The sequence below is a fragment of the Homo sapiens genome, chromosome 17 (genome assembly GCF_000001405.40).
Source record: "Homo sapiens chromosome 17, GRCh38.p14 Primary Assembly".
In the NCBI taxonomy this organism is placed as follows: domain Eukaryota; kingdom Metazoa; phylum Chordata; class Mammalia; order Primates; family Hominidae; genus Homo; species Homo sapiens.
Genome location: NC_000017.11, coordinates 48,665,427 through 48,684,956, shown reverse-complemented (window position 1 = coordinate 48,684,956; position 19,530 = coordinate 48,665,427). Strand labels below are relative to the sequence as shown.

Sequence of the window (19,530 nt, the reverse complement as noted above, 5' to 3'; positions counted from 1 at the left end):
GCATATGACAGCGGTAACCCCCACCCCCCACCCATCCAGAGGGTAGACCAATTAAAGAGATCTGCACAGACTTTGGACCACTTGGGCAGCAAACTCCAGTGGCCCAGGTACCTGGGACATGATCTAGAGTTGGGGGGGCGGTGCTCAGGTGGTGAGAGGCCCTTCATTTTGCCTCACAGGCCTACCTAATCAGCAAGGGCTATCTAGAAGAAGGGCAAAGTAAGGCCCTCCAAAATGTGGGGTCCTCTTGCGTGGGTCTAAGATGAGCCCTGAAATTTAGAAGTGTTCAGTTTTCAGAGAGATATGCTGCACACACTGCATATTATTCATTCCCCCAGTGGGGTCTGGGGAGAGCTTGAGCAAATATGTTGGCACTTTTGCAACAAAATACATTAATATTCATTCTAAGTGAATGAAATAAAGACTATAAATAGTCTATAGATGTCTCTATAAATTCCTCATGTCATTTCAAGTCAGATTTTGCCACCACTTGAGTCTGTGCCAAACTTAAGAAAAAACTTTTGGCCGGCCTCATGCCTGTAATTCTAACATTTTGGGAGGCCAAAGCAGGACAATCGCTTGAGCCTGGGAGTTCAAGTCCAGCCTGGACCATATAGCAAGACCCCAGTCTCTATAAAAGTAAGAAAATTAGCTGGGCACAATGGCACACACCTGTAGCCCTAGCTGCTTGGGAGTCCGAGGTGGGAGAATCCCTTGAGCTTGGGAGGTTGAGGCTGCAGTGAGCCGTGATCATGCCACTGCACTCCAGCCTGGGTGACAGAGAAAGACCCTGTCTCAACAACAACAACAACAACAACAACACACACACACACACACACACACACACACACACACACACCTTTCCAATTTTCACAGCTTTTGAGATTTCAGAACTTGGAGATAAGGAGTTATGGAACTATAATAGAGTTGTAATATAGTCATTGCTGTTCAATTGATGACACATTTCTAGCCTTTCTTTCAACTAAGTGTAGCCATGTGGCTAAGCTCTCAGCAAGAGAATATGAGCAGAAGTCATGAGGGCTGCTTTGGGTCTGAACTTTTAGGCACCAGGCACGTATTTTCCCACAGTCTCTTCCCTCTTTCTCCAACCTGGAAGACCGATGTGCCTGCTATCCAGCTTCTGTCAAGCAGATGAGGACAGAGTCCTTACATTTGCAAAGCAACAATCTGGAAGGAACTAGAGTCTTCAGATGGCCATGTGGGGCAAGATCCTTACCAAACTGCACTATTCAACTCAGGACTGCTATGAGGGAGGGAAATGAACTTCTATTCTTCCTTAAGTCACTGTAATTTTTTTTGTAAAGATATGGTCTCAGTCTATTGCCTAGGCTGATTTTGAACTCCTGGGCTCAAGTGACCCTTCTGCCTTGGCCTCCCAAAGTGCTGGGATTACAGGTGTGAGCCACCATGCCTGGCAAGCCACTGTAGTTTTGAGCCTCCAGCCCACTTAGTCTTGAACTAATTAATATAAGAGACAAGTGCTGGGCATATTAAAGATGGAAAAGATACAGTCCTTACCTCCAAGGGATGATAAGCATATTTTAAGTAAGGAAAACCAACTCATATGTGGAGACTTCCAATTAAATGTGCTGCATGCTGATGTGGCCGCCATGGAAAAACGGGTCTACCTGAGGGCTTCAGGGAAAACTTCCTTGAAGAGATGGCAGCTCGGCTGGACTGTGAAGGTTCAAGAGAGGCTGGTCAGGTGAGAAAATGGAAAAGGGTATATTATGGGTTACATTTTGTCCCCCTCCAGCAAAAGACATGTTGAAGTCCTAAATCCCAGTACCTCAGAATGTGACCTTATTTAGAAATAGGGTCGTTGAAAATGTGATGGCTTATGCCTGTAATCCCAGCACTTTGGGAGGCTGAGACAGGAAGATCGCTTGAGTCCAGGAGTTCGAGACCAGCTTCAGCAACATTGTGCGACCCCGTCTCCACAAAAAATAAACAAAATTAGCAGGGCATGGTGACATGCATCTGTGGTCTCAGCTACTTGGGAAGTTGAGGTGAGAATATTGCTTGAGCCCAGGATGTTGAGGCTGCAGGGAACCTTAGCATACTGGAGTAGCGTGGGCTAGAATCCAATACAACTGGTGTCCTTTTTTGTTTTTTCTTTTTATTTTGAGACAGAGTCTTGCTCTGCCACCCAGGCTGGAGTGCAGTGGTACAATCATAGCTCACTGCAGCCTCTATCTCCAGGGCTCAAGTGATCCTTCTGCCTGTCTCCCAAGTAGTTGGGACTAATTTTTGTATTTTTGTGGAGAACAGGGACTTACTATGCTTCCCCGGCTGGTCTTGAACTCTTGGCCTCAATCCTCTTGCCTCAGCCTCCCAAAGTGCTGGGATTACAGATGTGAGTCATCATGCCTGGCTGGGCGTCCTTTTAAGATGAAGAAAATTTAGACACAGAGACAGACACACAGGGATAATGCCATGTGAAGACAGAGAGACACACAGACTCAGAGACGATGGCCACATGAAGATGATCACATGAGTTTGGAGTTTTGCTATACAAGTCAAGGAATGCCTGGGCCTACCAGGAACTGAAAGAGGCAAGGAAGGATCCTCCCCCTGGAAGTTCTGGAAGGGTCATGGTCCTGCCAACCCCTTGATTTCAGACTTCTAGCTTCCAGAACTGTAAGAGGATAAATTTCTGCTATTTTTAAGTCCTGCACTTTGTTACTTCAACCCTAGGAAATTAATACAGGGTGTATAACCACAGGCAGAGAGGTGAGAAACAACATGGTGTACTCAAAGAGATTATAGGCAACTCCGTATTTACAGCCTTAAGGTGCAAGGCAAGGCATGTCCTGCAATGAAGCTGGAGAGTGGAAAAAACCCACTCACTGCGTGTATGATATGTAATTTTTAAAAATAGGAATAAAAAATGCAAAGAAGAATGATCACCAAAATAACATGGTTCTCTCACGGTGGTAAAATTTTAGGCAAAGTTTACATTCTTTTTATTTTTTTCCTTATTAATTTTTAAAATGATCATGTCTTTTGTTGTTGCTTCTTTTGAGACAGGTCTCACCCTGTCACACAGGCTGGAGTGCTGTGGCAGGATCTCAGCTCACAGCAGCCTTGACCTCCCATGACTCAACCTATCCTCCCACCTCAGTCTTCCCAGTAGCTTGGACAACAGGTGTGTGACACCATGCCTGGCTAATTTTTAAATTTCTTGTAGAGATGAGATCTCACTATGTTGCTCAGGCTGGCCTCAAGCAGTCTTCCTGCCTCAGCCTCCCAAAGTGCTGGCATTATAAGCATGAGCCACCATACCTGGCTGAACATGTATTTTTAATATAATCAGAAAATAATCTATTTCATTTAGGAAAACAAAGGCAGATGGCTGCCAGCAGTGAGGACAGTAGATTAGGGGAGCATGACTAGAAGCAGAGAGACCAGCTAAGAAACTATTGCAGGCCAGGAGCAGTGGCTCACGCCTGTAATTCCAGCACTTTGGGAGGCCGAGGCGGGCAGATTGCTTGAGGTCAGGAGTTCGAGACCAGCCTGGCCAATATGGCGAAACCCTGTCTCTAATAAAAATACAAAAATTAGCTGGGCACTCCAGCCTGGGCAACATAGCAAGACTCTGTCAAAAAAAAAAAAGAAAGAAAAGAAAAAGAAAGAAAGAAAGAAGTTATTGCAATTGCAATGTTCCAGATCTATGAGGAGGGCCTGAGCTCAGAAAACAGAAGTAGCATGGACAAGAGAAATATTTAGAAAGTAGAATTAGAGAGACATGGTGATTAGCTAGAAGTATTGGGGTTCGTGATAGAGAGGGAGATTCCAGAATGATTCTCACATCTCTAGGTGGGGTGACTTGGTAGATGACAGCCCCTTCATGGGGGTTAGGAGAAGAGGAGATTCAGGTTTTCAGGGGAAGATTATGAGTTCAGGGGAAGATGGTGAAATACCTGTGGGGGTATCCAAGTAGCAATGTCCTCAGATGGCAACTCCACATGGTGGTCTGTCCAGCACTCCACTCTAGGCTTCCTCTGGTAAATTATCCTGCCCCTATTCATCTCCATGATTCTCGTGGTGGTTTGCTGTGTCCGTAGGACTCCACTTCCCTAGCTACAGCTAATTGGTCAAGGATGGATGCGTGACCCAAAGTTGGGTTTTGTTTGTTTGTTTTTTGAGACTGTCTCACTCTGTCATTCAGGCTGGAGTGCAGTGATGCGATCTCAGCTCACTGCAACCTCTGCCTCCTGGGTTCAAGTGATTCTCCTGCCTCAGCCTCCCAAGTAGCTGGGACTACAGGTGCTTGCCACCATGCCCAGCTAATTTTGTATTTTTTGTAGGGATGAGGTTTTGTCATATTGCCCAGGCTGGTCTCAAACTCCTGGCCTCAAGTGATCCTCCTGCCTTGGCCTCCCAAAGTGCCAAGATCACAGGCATAAGCCACTGCACCCGGCCCTTGTTTTCAAATTTAAAGAGTAGTAGAGAAGGCAGGACTGGTGACATAAACCTGGGAATCACCCCACGTGGGCAGCAGTTGGATTCACAAAAGGATGAGACTTTCCAACAAGAGCATATAAGAGGAGAAAAATAAAAGTCAGCATAGAACCTACCAAGGGTGCAGGAGAGAGCAGCAGAAGAACTCACAACCAAAATGAAAAGAATGTTCAGAGAAACTGGAGGAAACCAGGAGAGAGGAGAGAATACGTCCCCAGTTAGAGTGGAGGAAACTGGAGCTTGGAGGCAAAGCTAAGACGCTCACTGATCCAAGACTCAGATTCAGGTCTTTGCTCTTTGCATGGCACCACTGCCCATGGATTTTGATTTTACTGAGCTTCTATTTTCTTTAAATGGACTTCTAGGGAGAGAGTCTATATAGACAACTTGTTTTCATTTCCCAGTTTCCCTCTCCAAGCCTATGCCTGCTTTGAACTGAAGCCTGCCTCTACTCTGCCCTCCCGATGTTGCTGTCCTGTGGGTTCATGCATCTGCCTAGGATTTGATATTTTAGGCCTGTGTGCCTGATTAACACAGAGAAGAAGAGTAACAAGGTCCTCAAAAATGCTTTGGATAAGAACAAATTGATTATTGAAGCGGAGTGAGGGTGGACACGGGACTGAAGGTTGCTGAGGCCCCTAGAGCCACATGGGAGAGCATTCAGAACCACATGCCCATGACATTTTCTCAGAGCCATCAGTTTTTATCACATTTGTCATTTCCCCCCATCTTATTCTTAACGTCATAAGTCATGAAGATGAGTCATTAAGCTGGTTTACTCAATTTATCTTGTGAACATACTGATAAAAAGACTGTTATTGAATCCCCATGATTTAGAGGGTTGTAGGAGCTTCAGGGGATCCAATAAAACTCTTGAATTAAACTCAATAGTGGTCATGAGAACTAGTAATTAGCATCACTTGCCTGGTAATTGCACGGTTGGTATGAAAAATGACTCTGTGTTAGAATCCATCTTATAATGAAGGTAGGAGGTGTACACATGTTTACATTTCTTCATATTGCTTGTGCATCTACTATATATCAGGAATTATGTGAGCAACAGACTCAAGACAGGTGAGACCTCTTCCCTTCTGAAGCTTGTATTCTAGTGGGCTATTTTCATTTCATACCCCACTAACTAAGGATGTTTCTAATAATTGAAAATGCCTTTCCCTGCTTCCCCTGTTAGTAGGAGGGAAAGCTCACCCACCAGGATCCAGGCCAAACTGCCAGAAGAGAATAATATAAATTCCACATTTAAATTCTCACTACAGCCCTGCAAAGCAGGTTAACATGGTAGAAATGGATAGACCTGGGTTCAGAGGCTGGCTCTGCTACTTCCTGCTGCTTGTTCATCTCTCTGGGCCATAGTCTCCTCCTATTAAACCCTCGAGATGATAACACACACAGTATATGGCATATAAGTCCTTGGCATGTGGCATCATAGCCATTCCTATTGCCATTAGCTCATTTTTGAAGATGAGAAACTTAACACAGAGAGGTAAAGTGACTTGCCCAAGATCACACAGCTGGTAATTGGCAGAGCAGGAACTTGAACTCAAATCTTCTGACTCCGTGCCATGTCCTCTTTCCAGTCTCGCATCACTGTCTGGTATAAGGCCAGGAAGTAATTATCCATGTATCCAGGGATCTATGCTTCTGGAAGGGTGCAGGCCTGGTGACTTAGGAAGGACAGTATGGAGGTAGTGGTCGGGGGTGGGGAGAATATGAGGAGTCTCGATAGGCTAGAACCCAGTTAACGGCCAGGGGACAAGTCCAGACAGATTGGCAGGGGCAAGACCCAGCTAGAAGAACCAGATTCAGCCCCGGCCGCTGTCTGTTCACCTGCGGCCAAACACTGACCCCTGCCGGCCGCCCGAGGGAAGGCGGCGCCCGGCCCAGCTCCGGGAGTGCTGGGGGCGCTCGCGGCTGGAACTGGCGAGTGGACGCTCATCGAGCAGACAGGAGCCTAGGGGGCTGGTGGTCACAGCGCGTCCCTCTCCTGGAACCTCGAGACCTGGGTGCCTGCCTTGGCCACCAGGGTGACGTTGCATCGCCTCCTTCGCTCACTTGGCTTTTGACCAGAGCTGAGGGTTTTCCCTGCCCTGGGCCCCGACCCCGAGCATCTCCTGGGTTTCTCCTTGCCGCGCAGCCCCGCACCGTGTTTGAGACTTGAGGCTTGGCGCCTGCCCTTCCTGCCCCGTCTAGGGTGCCGGCCACCTGGAGCAGGCGGGGAGCGTCTCTAGGGCTGGATTCGAGCCTTGTGCGGGCCAGATGGACCAACTCTAGACCAAAGGCCACTTGCTGGGGCTGAGGAGACGCTGTGGCAGTGCCACCAAATACAGCTGCTTCTTGCCTCTCCTGGCTGCTCCCATCCAGATGGGTCCAGAAGGGTTGTCCCTGCAGAAGGCGCTCACTAAGGACTCTTTACCCCTTCCCTCCTTGTTCAGAACTGAGAGAGAGAGAGAGAGAGAGAGAGAGAGAGAGAGAGAGAGAGAGAGAGAGAGATGGGGGAGTTCTCTAGCATCTAGCATCCCACGCAGGGCTCAGCATTTTATTCTTTGAGATAAAAACAAGGCAGAGAGGCTTGTTAGCAATTCAAATATACTGATTTGGGGGGAAGATTTTTTTTTTTTAATTTCAATAATATTTAGAAAGTAACAACATGCTTTCAAGAGTAAGGATTGATGTCAGGTCCTTTATCTTATTCTCTCCAAATCAAGAATCTCCATTTGCAGTGGAAGAGATCTGACTCTTAAGTTTCCTGTGAAAAAGGAGGGAGGGAGGAGGGTGGAGAGGGTGAGTTGGCTGAGCTGACCACCGCTCAGGGTGAGAAGCCTGTAGCCAGTTGCCTGTAGAGTGAAGGTACTTGAGCCTGACAAGAGTAGGCAACTCTCATTTACATTGCATAAAGAACTTTCTAGTGCATCCTTGGGCCATCTGAACTTCAGTCTGACCCTTTGAGGTGGGCCTGGATGCTAGTGCTATTCTCAATTCCAGATTAGAAAGAGGGAACTTGAGGTCAGGCTTGATGGCTCACGCCTGTAATCCCAACAGTTTGGGAGGCCGAAGTGGGTGGATCACCTGAGGCCAGGAGTTCAAGATCAGCCTGGTCAACATTGCGAAACCCCATCTTTAGAAAAAACACAAAAATTAGCCAGGTATCATGACACATACCTGTGATCCCAGCTACTTGGGAGGCTGAGGCATGAGAATTGCTTGAACCCGGGAGGTGGAGGTTGCAGTAAGCTGAGATAATACCACTGCACTCCAGTTTGAGTGACAGAGGAAGACCCTGAAGAAGGAAGGAAGGAAGGAAGGAAGGGAGGAAGGAAGGAAGGAAGGAAGGAAGGAAAGCAGGCAGGCAGGCAAAAACCCATCTCTACTAAAAAAAAATTAGCTGGGCATGGTGGCGCATCCCTGTAGTCCCACCAGGGGCTGAGCAGGGAGGATCACTCGAGCCTGGAAGGTTGAGGCTGCAGTAAGCCCTGATTGTGCCACTGAACTCCAGCCTGGGCGACAAAGTAAGACTCTGTCTGAAAAAAAAAAAAAAAAAGTACATGATCATGATAGACCAATTGAAAAGTTTATGGTTTCAGGTTCCACATTGCAATTAACCTTTAAGAAACTATACTTGTCCAGTTTTGGTATGTAATCTAAGAAAAATATCCACAATTATTTGAAAAGGCTATTAAGATAGTCTTCCTTTTTTCAACCACGTATCTGTGTGAAGACAGACTTTTTTCATATATTTCAACCAAAACAACATATCTCAACACATTGAATGTAAGTAGAAGCAGGTAAGAGAATGCAGCTATCTTCTACTCAGCCAGACATTTGACAGCAAAAATGCAAAACAATGTCACTCTTCTCACTAATTCTTTTGTTTTGGAAAATACAATTATTTTTCAACTGTTATTTATGATAACATGTACAGCATATGGTTTATTAATGCTATTTTAAAGGAAATAATGCATATTTTTACAAATTTCTGTTTTACTTTCTAACATGGTAAATGTCAATGGATATTGAACATAAGCACACAAAAACAAAATACATAAACAAGAGCTTTTTGGGGCCCTCAGTAATTGTTAAGAGTCTAAAGGGGTTTTGAGACCAAAATGTTTGAGAACCATGGAGCTATCTATGAAGAAAATATCAACTTTTTTCTCTCTCTTTTTTTATTGAGCTATAATTCATATACTATAAAATTCACCATTTACAAATGTATGACTCAGTGTTTTTTAGCAGATTCACAAGGCGGTTCAACAATCACTACTATCCAATTCCAGAACCTGTGCCTGTGTGCAGTCATTTCTCATTACTCCCTACTTCTAGCCCCTGACAACCACAGATCTCAATGAATGTGCCTATCTGAACATTTAATATAAATGGAATCATATAATATATGGCCTTTTGTGACTGGCTTCTTTCACTTAGCATAGTGTTTACAAGGTTCATCCATGCTGTAGCTTGTATCAGTACTTCATTCCTTTTTATGGTAGAATAATATTCCACTGCATGAACAGACCACATTTTGTTTATCCACTCGTCGACTGATAAACACCTGGGTTGTTCCCTGATATGGTTTGGCTCTGTGTCCCCACCCAAACCTCACCTTGAATTGTATTAATCCCACATGTCAAGGGCGGGACCAGGTAGAGGTAATTGGATCATGGGGGTGGTTTCCCCCATGCTGTTCTCATGATAATGAGTGAGTCTCAGGAGATCTGATGGTTTTATAAGCATCTGGCATTTCCCCTGCTTGCACTCACTCCCGTCCTGCCACCCTGTGAAGAAGGTGCCTGTTTCTCCTTTGCTTCCTGCCATGATTGTAAGTTTCCAGAGGTCTCCCCAGCAATGCGGAACTGTGAGTCAATTAAAACCCTTTCCTTTATAAATTACCCAGTCTTAGGCAATTCTTTACAGCAGTGTGAGAATGGACTGATACATTTCCACCTTTTGGTCATTATAAATAATGCTGCTATGAGCATTCATGTATATGTATATGTATCTTTTTTTTTTTTTTTTTGAGACAGAATCTCATTTTATTGGCCAGGCTGGAGTGCAGTGGTACAATTTCGGCTCACTGCAACCTCCACCTCCTGGGTTCAAGCGATTCTCCCATCCTGGCTTCCTGAGTAGCTGGGATTACAGGTGTGCGCCACCACTTCCAGCTAATTTTTGTATTTTTAGTAGAGATAGGGTTTCACCATGTTGGCCAGGCTGGTCTCAAACTCCTGACCTCACGTGATCTGCCCGCCTTGGCCTCCCAAAGTGCTGGGATTACAGGCGTGAGCTACTGCATCCAGCTACACCTTTTTTTTTTTTTTTTTTGAGACAGAGTCTTGCTGTGTTACCCAGGCTGGAGTGCAATGGTATGATCATAGCTCACTGCAGCCTCCAACTCCTCTGCTCAAGCGATCCTCCCACCTCAGCCTCCCCAGTAGCTGGAATTATAGGCATACACCACCACATCCAGCTGATTTTTTATATTTTGTAGAGATAGGATCTCATTATGTTGCTCAGGCTGGTCTCAAATTCCTGGGCTCAAGGGATCCTCCTGCCTTGGCCTCCCCAAGTACTGGGTTTATAGGTGTGAGTCACTGCTCCTGGTCTCATGTACAAGTATATATAATGTTCTCAATTATTTTGGGTATATAGCTAGCAGTGGAATTTCTAGGTCTTACGGTAACTCTATATTGAACTTTTTGAAGACCTCCCAAACCATTTTCCACAGAGGCTGCACCTATTTATATTCCCACTAGTGATTTATGAGGGTTCCAATTTGTCTACATCCTTGCTAATACTAGTTATTGTCTTTTAAACTATAGCCATGCTAGTGGGTTTGAAAGTTTTGATTTGCATTTCCCTAATGGTTAATGATACTGAGTATCTTTTTTTTTTTTTTTTTTTTGATATGGAGTTTTGCTCTTGTTGCCCAGGCTGGAGTGTAGTGGTGCGATCTTGGCTCATTGCAACCTCCACCATCCAGGTTCAAGCAGTTCTCTTGCCTCAGCCTCCTGAGTAGCTGGGATTACAGACATCTGCCACCACACCTGGCTAATTTTTGTATTTTTAGTGGAGGCGAGGTGCCACCATGTTGGCCAGGCTGGTCTCAAACTCTTGACCTCAGGTGATCCACCTGCCTTGGCCTCCCAAAGTGCTAGGATTATAGGCATGAGCCACCATGCCTGGCTGATGCTGACTATCTTTTCATGTGCTTCTTGGCATTTGTATATCTTCTTTGGAGAAATGCTTATTCCAGTCATTTGCCCAAATTTAAATTGGGTTATTTGTCTTTTTATTATTAAATTACAAGAGTTCTTATAGGCTGGATGAGGTGGCTCACTCTAATCCCAACACTTTGGATGGCAGAGGTGGGAGTATCGCTTGAGGCCAAGAGTTCAAGACCATCCTGGGCAACATAGTGAGAGCTCGTCTATAAAAAAAATTTTTTTTAGTTATCCAGGCATGGTGGTGCACACCTACAGTCCCAGCTACTCGGGAGACTGAGGTGACAGGATTGCTTGAGCCCACGAGGTGGAAGCTGCAGTGAGCTATGATGATGCCACTGCACTTTAGGCTGGATGACAGAGCAAGACTCTGTCTCAACAACAACAGAAAAACAGCTCTTCTATCTTCTGGATACAAGATCCTTTCCAGATCTATGATTTGCAAAAATTTTCTCCCATTCCGTGATTTATCTTTTAACTTTGATAGGGCCTTGACACTCAAATTTTTAATTTTGATGAAGTCTAATTGATTTATTTTTTCTTCAGTTGATTGTGCTTTTGGTGTTGTATGTAAGAAACCATTGCTTAATCCAAGGTCATAGAGGTTTACACCTATGTTTTTTCTAAGAGTTTTATAGTTTTAGTTCTTATCTTTAGGTCTTTGATTCGTTTTGAGTTAATTTTTGTAGACAATAAAAGATAGGAGTCCAAATTCATTCTTTTGCATGTGGCTATCCAGATGTCCCAGCACTATTTGTGGGGAAAAAAACTTATTTCCTTATTTAATTGTCTTGATACCTTGACCGTAAACATACAGGTTTATTTCTGGACTCTCAATTCTATTCCATTGATGTACATGTTGATCCTTATGCCAGTACCACATTGTTTTCATTACTGTAGCTTTTGAACTTGGAAAGTGTAAGTTCTCCAACTTTTTTTTTTTTTTTTTTTTGAGACAAGGTCTTGCTCTTTTGCCTAGGCTGGAGTGCAGTGGTGCTATCTTGGCTCACTGCAGCCTCAACCTCCCTGGGCTCAGGTGATCCTCCCACCTCAGCCTCCTGAGTAGCTGGGACCACAGGCGAGCACCACCACACCAGGCTAATTTTTGTATTTTTTTCGTAGAAACTTTTTTTTTTGTAGAAATTTTTTGTATTTTTACCATGTTGCCCAGGCTGGTATTGAACTCTTGGGCTCAAGCAATCCACACGCCTTGGCCTCCCAAAATGCTGGGATTACAAGCATGAGCCACCGCACTGGGCCAAGTTCTCCAACTTTGTTCTTTTTCAAGATTGTTGTGGCTGGATAATATCAACTTTAACATTAACCTTTTTTTCATGCCAGGTGATGAGTACATGGGTGTTTGTTGTATCATTCTCTTCACTTTTCAGTACTAACAATGTATTAATAGAAAGGATGACATCTAGGTGTATAGCAATTAAATGACTTAAATGAGTTAATAAATGTAAAACACAGAAAACTATCTGGCCCCCTCCATACTGTTAGTTGCTGTTGTTGTTATTCTTTTAAGTGAAAATTTTTAAAAGCATCTTTTGCTGCTAGACTATCTGGGTTCAAATACTGGTCCTGTCACTCCCTAATGGTGTGATCTTGGGCCAGTTATCAAACCTTACCAAGTTCTAATCTGTAGAATGTGGATAATAGCCTTAGTCTCAGAGAGTTGTTGTGGGGATTAAATGAGATAAAGACACAATTAAATCAGATAATGGAGATCATAGGAGATGCTTGAACCCAGTAGGTGCTAACCTATTATTTGCCTTCCTACAAGTCTGCAGGGAGCGATCAACTTAGTGAAAAGCCTAGAAATCATTCCACAGGAAGGACATGAAAAAAATGGAGCATGAAGCTGTTTTTAAATATCCAAAAGCCGGATGTGGAAGATCTTTTCTGTGTACCCCAGAGAGTGCCAGGGCTCCTGAATTTCAGGAAGCCATTCTGGCCAATCCTCCCCAGCCCCCACTCTTCTGGGAGCGCCCTTAATGGTCTGTGGTCATCGTGCCAGCACTTGCCAATTTGTAATTATAATTATTTAGGTCTCAGACGCCTCCATCGGTTGGTCCCATTCCATAAATATTTACAAAGCGCTCACTGTCTGCCAGACACTATGTGTGCTAGACCCTGGGGCTCATGGGTGAATGAGACACTGCTGGAATCCTCCAAGTCACAGTCCGGCAGAACGCCAATTGGTGAAAGTTTGAAGGAGCCACATTTCTGCTCCATATAGCCTCTTGCAGTCTCCTCCTACTTCCGTAAAAAGCCTTTAGTTTCAGAACCAAGGCAGCAGCCAGTTCTCCCCAGTAAATTACCAGACCCAAAGAGAGAGTTTCAGAACCGGCAGTCGAAGCGCTTCCTGGCAGAGGTCCCGGGCCTGGAAACACTCGGCTTTCTGAGCGAGGAGCACCCTCTAGTGTCTGTCCACGGTAAGGCGGGTCCAACGTAAAACCTTTCAAAGATCCCTATTTATTGCAAAGAATTTCTTTCCTTATTTGAGCGCTGCTCATGGCTAAGCTGCTTTCAGGTCTCCGCTGTAAGACAACAACATTGACAGTTTAAAAAATAATAAATAGGTCGGGCGCGGTGGCTCACGCCTGTAATCCCAGCACTGTGGGAGGCCGAGGCGGGCGGATCACGAGGTCAGGAGATCGAGACCAACCTGGCTAACACGGTGAAACCCCATCTCTACTAAAAATACAAAAAATTAGCCGGGAGTGGTGGCAGGCGCCTGTAGTCCCAGCTACTCGGGAGGCTGAGTCAGGAGAATGGCGTGAACCAGGGAGGCGGAGCTTGCAGTGAGCCACTGCACTCCAGCCTGGGCGACAGAGCAAGACTCCGTCACTAAATACATAGTTAAATAAATAAATAAATAAATAAATAAATAAATAAATAAAAATAGTTGCCAACATCTTTTGAGCACTTACTATGTGCCAGGCCTTGTGTTAATTTGTCTTACATGGCTTACCCAGAGGCAGTTACTATTAAGATGATGATGTCCCAGATATTGATAAAGAAACTGAGGCAGGTGGGGCAGCCAGCTCAAGCGGTCAGACTCCATAACCATGCGCTTAATTTTTTGGTTTACTGTCAAAGAGAAGCAACAACCATGGGCAATACCAAGATAGTTCTAGTCAAATTTCTCCTGATTATTTGGGAGAACTGTAATTTAACTAAATCCAGCAGATTTATGTCAAAATATCAAATATGGAATGATGATGAGCCTTTCTCATGTTCATACTGAAGGGAATAGAAAGAAAAAAATCTAGACTAGGGTTTTCAAACTGTGGGTTGAACTTATTGATGAGTTGGATAAACAATTTAGTGGATTTTTACTAGCACTATAGAAATTGAAATAGCCGGGCGAGGTGGCTCATGTCTGCAATCCCGGTACTTTGGGAGGAGGCCAAGGTGGGCAGATTGCTTGAGCTCAAGAGCTCAAGACCAGCCTGGGCAACATGGCGAAACCCCATCCCTACAAAAACAACAACAACAAAAAATTAGCTGGGCATGGTGGTGTGTGCCTGTAGTCCCAGCTACTTGGGGGGCAGAGGTGGAAGGACTGCTTGAGCCCAGGAAGTTGAGGCTTCAGTAAGCCGTGTTTGCACCAGTGCACTCCAGCTTGGGTGAAAGAGAATGACCATGAAAAAAAAGAAAAAGAAAAAGAAAGAAACAGAGAGAGAAAGAAGAAGGAAAGAAAGAAAGAAAAAGAAGAAAGAAAGAAACTGAAATACACTCATGTGCCATTTAACAAGAGGGAAACATTCTGAGAAATGCATTGCTAGGCGACTTTATCATTGTGATAACATCAGAGTATACTTACACAAACCTAGATGGTATAACCCACTAGACACCTAAGTTATATGGTGTAGCCTGTCGCTCCTAGGCTACAGACTCATCCAGCATGATGAGTACTGTATACTGAATGCTGTAGGCAACTGTAACACAGTGGTGTTTGTGTATCTAAACATAGAAATGGTACAGTGAAAATACGGTATTATAATCTTTTTTATCTTTAAGATGGAGTTTTGCTCTTGTTGCCCAGCCTGGAGTGCAATGGCAGGGTCTAGGCTCACTGCAACTTCCGCCTCCCGGGTTCAAGTGATTCTCTTGCCTCAGCCTCCCGAGTAGCTGGGATGACAGGCGCACGCTACCAAGCCCAGCTAATTTTTGTATTTTTAGTAGAGACAGGGTTTCTCCACGTTGACCAGGCTGGTCTTGAACTCCTGACCTCAGGTTATCCGCCTGCCTAGGCCTCCCAAAGTGCTGGGATTACAGGCGTGAGCCACTGTGCCTGGCCTGGTATTATAATCTTATAGGATGACTACCATATATGTGGTTCATTGTTGACCCAAACATTGTTATGTATCACATGACAGCATAACAAATCAGGACTATATGAGCATGCATAACGAGGCAGTACATATTCTCCTGCCCCACCCGCCTCTCTCTGTCTCTCTTCACGCACACATGATGCATGATATATATTTAAGTGACTCAAATCTTCCATCCAGAAACCTTTCGGGAGGGTTCCACCTGGCAGCCCACTCCTATCCTGAGGTTACTGACTGCTTTAGGCAGTTTGAGCTGCCATAGCAAAAGCACCCTAGACTGGGCAGCTTAAACCACAAACACTTCTCAGAGTTCTAGAGGCTGAGAAGGACAAGGTGAAGGCGCTGGCAGATTTGGTGTCTGGTGAAGCCTGCTTCCTGGGTCGTAGATGGTCATCTTCTCAGTATCCTCACATGGCAGATGGGTGAGGGAGCCCTCTGGAGTCTCTTTTATGAAGGCTCTAATCCCATTCATGAAGGCTCATGACCTAATTACCTCTCAAAGGCCTCACCTCCAAATACCATCACATTGGAGATTCTATTTCAACATATACATTTTGGAGAGAGATAAATGTTCGGTCTACAACATTGATGAAGCACTATATCGCTTGCATCTTGTCTTTCAGCCAGGGCAAGAACAAGCTTTCCCACCCAGCACAGTGCTGTGGAAGTGTGGATGCTTTGCTGATTGGGTTGGAGGCATGCTGAGCCCCTGTCCTGTCACTCTCCTGTGCCCCAGCAGCTCCCCAGTTGCTCCACTGATCCACCATCATTTCTCCATAATTCTGTATGCACTAGTTCTCCACACATATATGAGCCTTTACTTATCGTTTAATATCCACTTGACCAGGTGAAATTATCATGATGAATGTGAAATATTCATAAAATGATAAAAAAAGTGATTATGTGCTTTTTTCTGTGGTGAGGTTCTGTAGCTTAGGTAAGATTCTCAAAGGAGTCTGTGACCCCCAAAGTATTAAGAATTAACCACTACAGGCCGGGCGCAGTGGCTCGCACCTGTAATCCCAGCACTTTGGGAGGCCAAGGCAGGCAGATCACAAGGTCAGGAGATCGAGACCATCATGGCTATCACAGTGAAACCCCGTCTCTACCAAAAATACAAAAAAAATTAGCTGGGCATGGTGGCGGGCGCCTATAGTCCCAGCTGCTGGGGAAGCTGAGGCAGGAGAATGGTGAACCCGGGAGGCGGAACTTGCAGTGAGCCGAGATCGTGCCACTGCACTCCAGCCTGGGCGACAGAGTGAGACTCTGTCTCAAAAAAAAAAAAAAAAAAAAAAAAGAATTAACCACTCCATTTGTCTGGAAGCCCCACAGGGCCAGGATCTATTTCTCTTATTCATCTGTTATTTCTCTGTCATGTGTTTCGAGCTGACAAACACAGTAGATACTCGAACACCGCTAGTCCCTAAACACTTCTGCCGTCACAACCTTTATTCAAGTCACTATTTGTCCACCTTGACTACAACAGCAGCTTCCTAAATGGTCTCTATTTCTGCCGTTGCCCCCTAGAAACCATTATTCATACAGCAATGTGATCTTTAAAATCAGATCATGTCACTCTCTTGCTTAAAACCTTTCAGTGACCTCCCGTTACACTTGGAATAAAATCCAAACTTCTCACTCTGACATCCCAGGCCCGGCATCATCTGGGTTCTACCTGGCTCTCCAATCTCATCCTACACCACTCTCCTCTCTTCCTCTGCTCTGGTCACATCTAGCCTGCTTCCTCTTCCTCCAATGTCCCAAGCTCTTTCTTCCCTGGCTTGGTAAAAGATTCTTGGGAAAACCTTCCAGAGACGAAATCATCTTCAAACCAATTAAATATACACTTAAGTAGGTGAAGCCTGTGAATTTTAAATATAAAGCTAGATACATCTAGGCTGGGCGCGGTGGCTCATGCCTGTAATCCTAGTACTTTGGGAGGCCAAGACAGGTGGATTACTTAAGGTCAGAAGTTCAAAACCAGCCTGGCCAACATGGTGAAACCCTGTCCCTACTAAAAATATGAAAAATTAGCCGGGTATGGTGGTGCCCGCCTGTAATCCCAGTTACTCGGGAGGCTAAGGCAGGAGAATTGCTTGAACTCAGGAGGCGGAGGTTGCAGTAGCCAAGATCATGCCACTGCACTCCAGCCTGGGCAACAGAGCTAGACTCTGTCTCAAAAAATATATATATAGTAATAATAAAGCTAGATATATCTGAAAGTTTGAATTATAGAGCCATTTCAGTACTTCATTTGAAATGTTAAGTACATGGTTGGATTTTAGCCATGTATTTTATTTTATTTATTTATTTATTTATTTATTTTGAGACAGAGTCTCACTCTGCTGCCCAGGCTAGAGTGCAGTGGTGCGATCTCGGCTCACTGCAAGCTCCACTTCCTAGGTTCAAGTGATTCTTGTGCCTCAGCCTCCGGAGTAGCTAGGACTACAGGTGCACACCACCATGCCTGGCTCATTTTTGTATTTTTAGTAGAGACGGGGTTTCACCATGTTGCCCAGACTGGTCTGGAACTCCTGGCCTCAAGCAATCCACCTGCCTTGGCCTCCCAAAGTGTTAGGATTACAGGCGTGAGCTACTGCACCTGGCCTAGCCATGTATTTTAAAGGGATCACTGTGGGACTTCCACTTCTGCACATGAAGGATAAACTGTTGTAGAGATGGCTTCCCCCACCACACACACCCAAAATTAGTAAATTAAACAAAATATATGAAACAACTGTTTTCACACATTAGACAGCAGGCAATGCAAGACTAAGATCTCTGAGAAAAGAAAAATAAGTTCAGCCTCACCAGAGCCCCAGCTTACTACGTGGAGACAGTGAAGAGAGTGCTACATGGAGTACCCAAACAGAGCCCCGTGGTCTCACTGAGTTTAGGAGACAGGGTTTAGAGTTCAAGGACATGAAGACAGCTAGAATTTGTGGGAGAGAGTGCTGGAGAAGCAAGAGCTGCATGGGGAGAGACAGAGAGAAAGCGACAAAGCCTCATAGACCATTAGAGATTCCCTCAAGTCTTTGGGGACTGATCTACACAGGTGTGGGGTGAAATTCCAGAAGGTTGGAAAAAGTAAAACCAGAAAGCAGGAGGCCGAACAAGTGTTGGAGTTTACACAGGGCTAGGCATAGTTTGTGTTTCCATCAACCAGAGTAAAGAGACCTCATAACACACAGGTATTGGGTAGAGTCTTCAGAAGGATAGAGACTTAGTGGGGCTAAATTATTAATATCTCTGGAGTAGAGGCCAACCTGGGCTTTTCCTAACAAAACTTAATAGCAAGACTTAAAAGAAGAAAACAAATCACAAGTAACTAATTATATGCCAGGACAAAGTTCAGCACTCTGTTTTTTTGTTTGAGTGTTTGTTTTTTCTGTTTTGTTTTGTTTTGAAACAGAGTCTCACTCTGTCGCCCAAGTTGGAGTGCAGTGGCATGATCTCGGCTCACTGCAACCTCTGCTTCCCAAGTAGCTGGGACCACAGACATGAGCCACCATGCCCAGCTAATTTTTGTATTTTTCTCTAGTACTCTTTAAAAGAATATAACAATGTCTTGCACCCAACAACCCAAAATACACAATATTCAGCATCCAATAAAAAATTGCCAGGTAGTCAAATAAATAGGAAAAAATTACCCATAACCAGTAGATAACTAAAGCAATAGAAACAGACCACAATATTCAGAGATGATGAAATTAGTAGGTGAGGACCTTAAAATAGCCATTATAAATCTCATAAATTATGCCCAAGGATATAAAGAAAAACATAAATATGATGAAGAGAGAAAAGAAATATATTTTTAAAGGACCCAAAATGGAACTTCAAGAGATGAAAAGTTTATGATCTAAAAATGAAAGATGCACAGGAGGAATTAACAGCAGATTATACACTGCAGAAGCACTGCATAAGAAAAGATTGGTGAACTTGAAAATATAGCAATAAAAACTATTGAAAATAAAGCACAGAAAATCCACAAAAATAACAGAGCACCAATGTCTTATAAGATAATATCAAAACCAAGACACATCATAATCAAATTATTGAAAAGGTTGGCTGGGCGTGTGGCTCATGCCTGTAATCCCAGCATTTTGGGAGGCCGAAGTAGGTGGATCACTTGAGAACAGGAATTCAAGAGCAGAGCAGCCCGGCCAACATAGCAAAACCTTGTCTCTACTAAAAATACAAAAAGTAGTCAGGCGTAGTGGTGCACGCCTGCAGTCCCAGCTACTGGGGAGGCTGAGGCAGGAGAATTGCTTGAACCTGGGAGGCGGAGGTTGAAGTGAGCTAAGATTGCACCACTGCACTGCACTCCAGCTTGGGCAACAGAGTGAGACTCTGTCTAAAAAAAATAAGTAAGTAAAAATAAATAAAATAGGCTGGGCATGGTAGCCCATGCCTCTAATTTCAGCACTGTAGGAGGCCGAGGCAGGCGGATTACATCAGGTCAGGAG

The 19,530-nt window shown here is 44.5% G+C and overlaps 1 long non-coding RNA gene across 5 annotated transcripts in view; it reads right to left on the bottom strand.

Annotated features, from left to right (window-relative positions):
• LINC02086 (long intergenic non-protein coding RNA 2086) overlaps nucleotides 1–19,530 on the bottom strand; it is a 64,720-nt gene that overhangs the window by 22,390 nt on the left and 22,800 nt on the right. For 3 of the 5 annotated variants that reach the window (NR_189645.1, NR_189644.1, NR_189647.1), the window contains exon 4: nucleotides 1,540–1,698. The exons of 1 other annotated variant lie outside the window; for it this stretch is intronic. This is a non-coding gene — a long non-coding RNA (long intergenic non-protein coding RNA 2086). Of the gene's footprint in view, nucleotides 1–1,539; nucleotides 1,699–6,000; nucleotides 6,168–13,698; nucleotides 13,818–19,530 lie in introns of all 5 variants that reach the window. One more of the 5 variants, NR_189648.1, reaches the window with a different exon arrangement.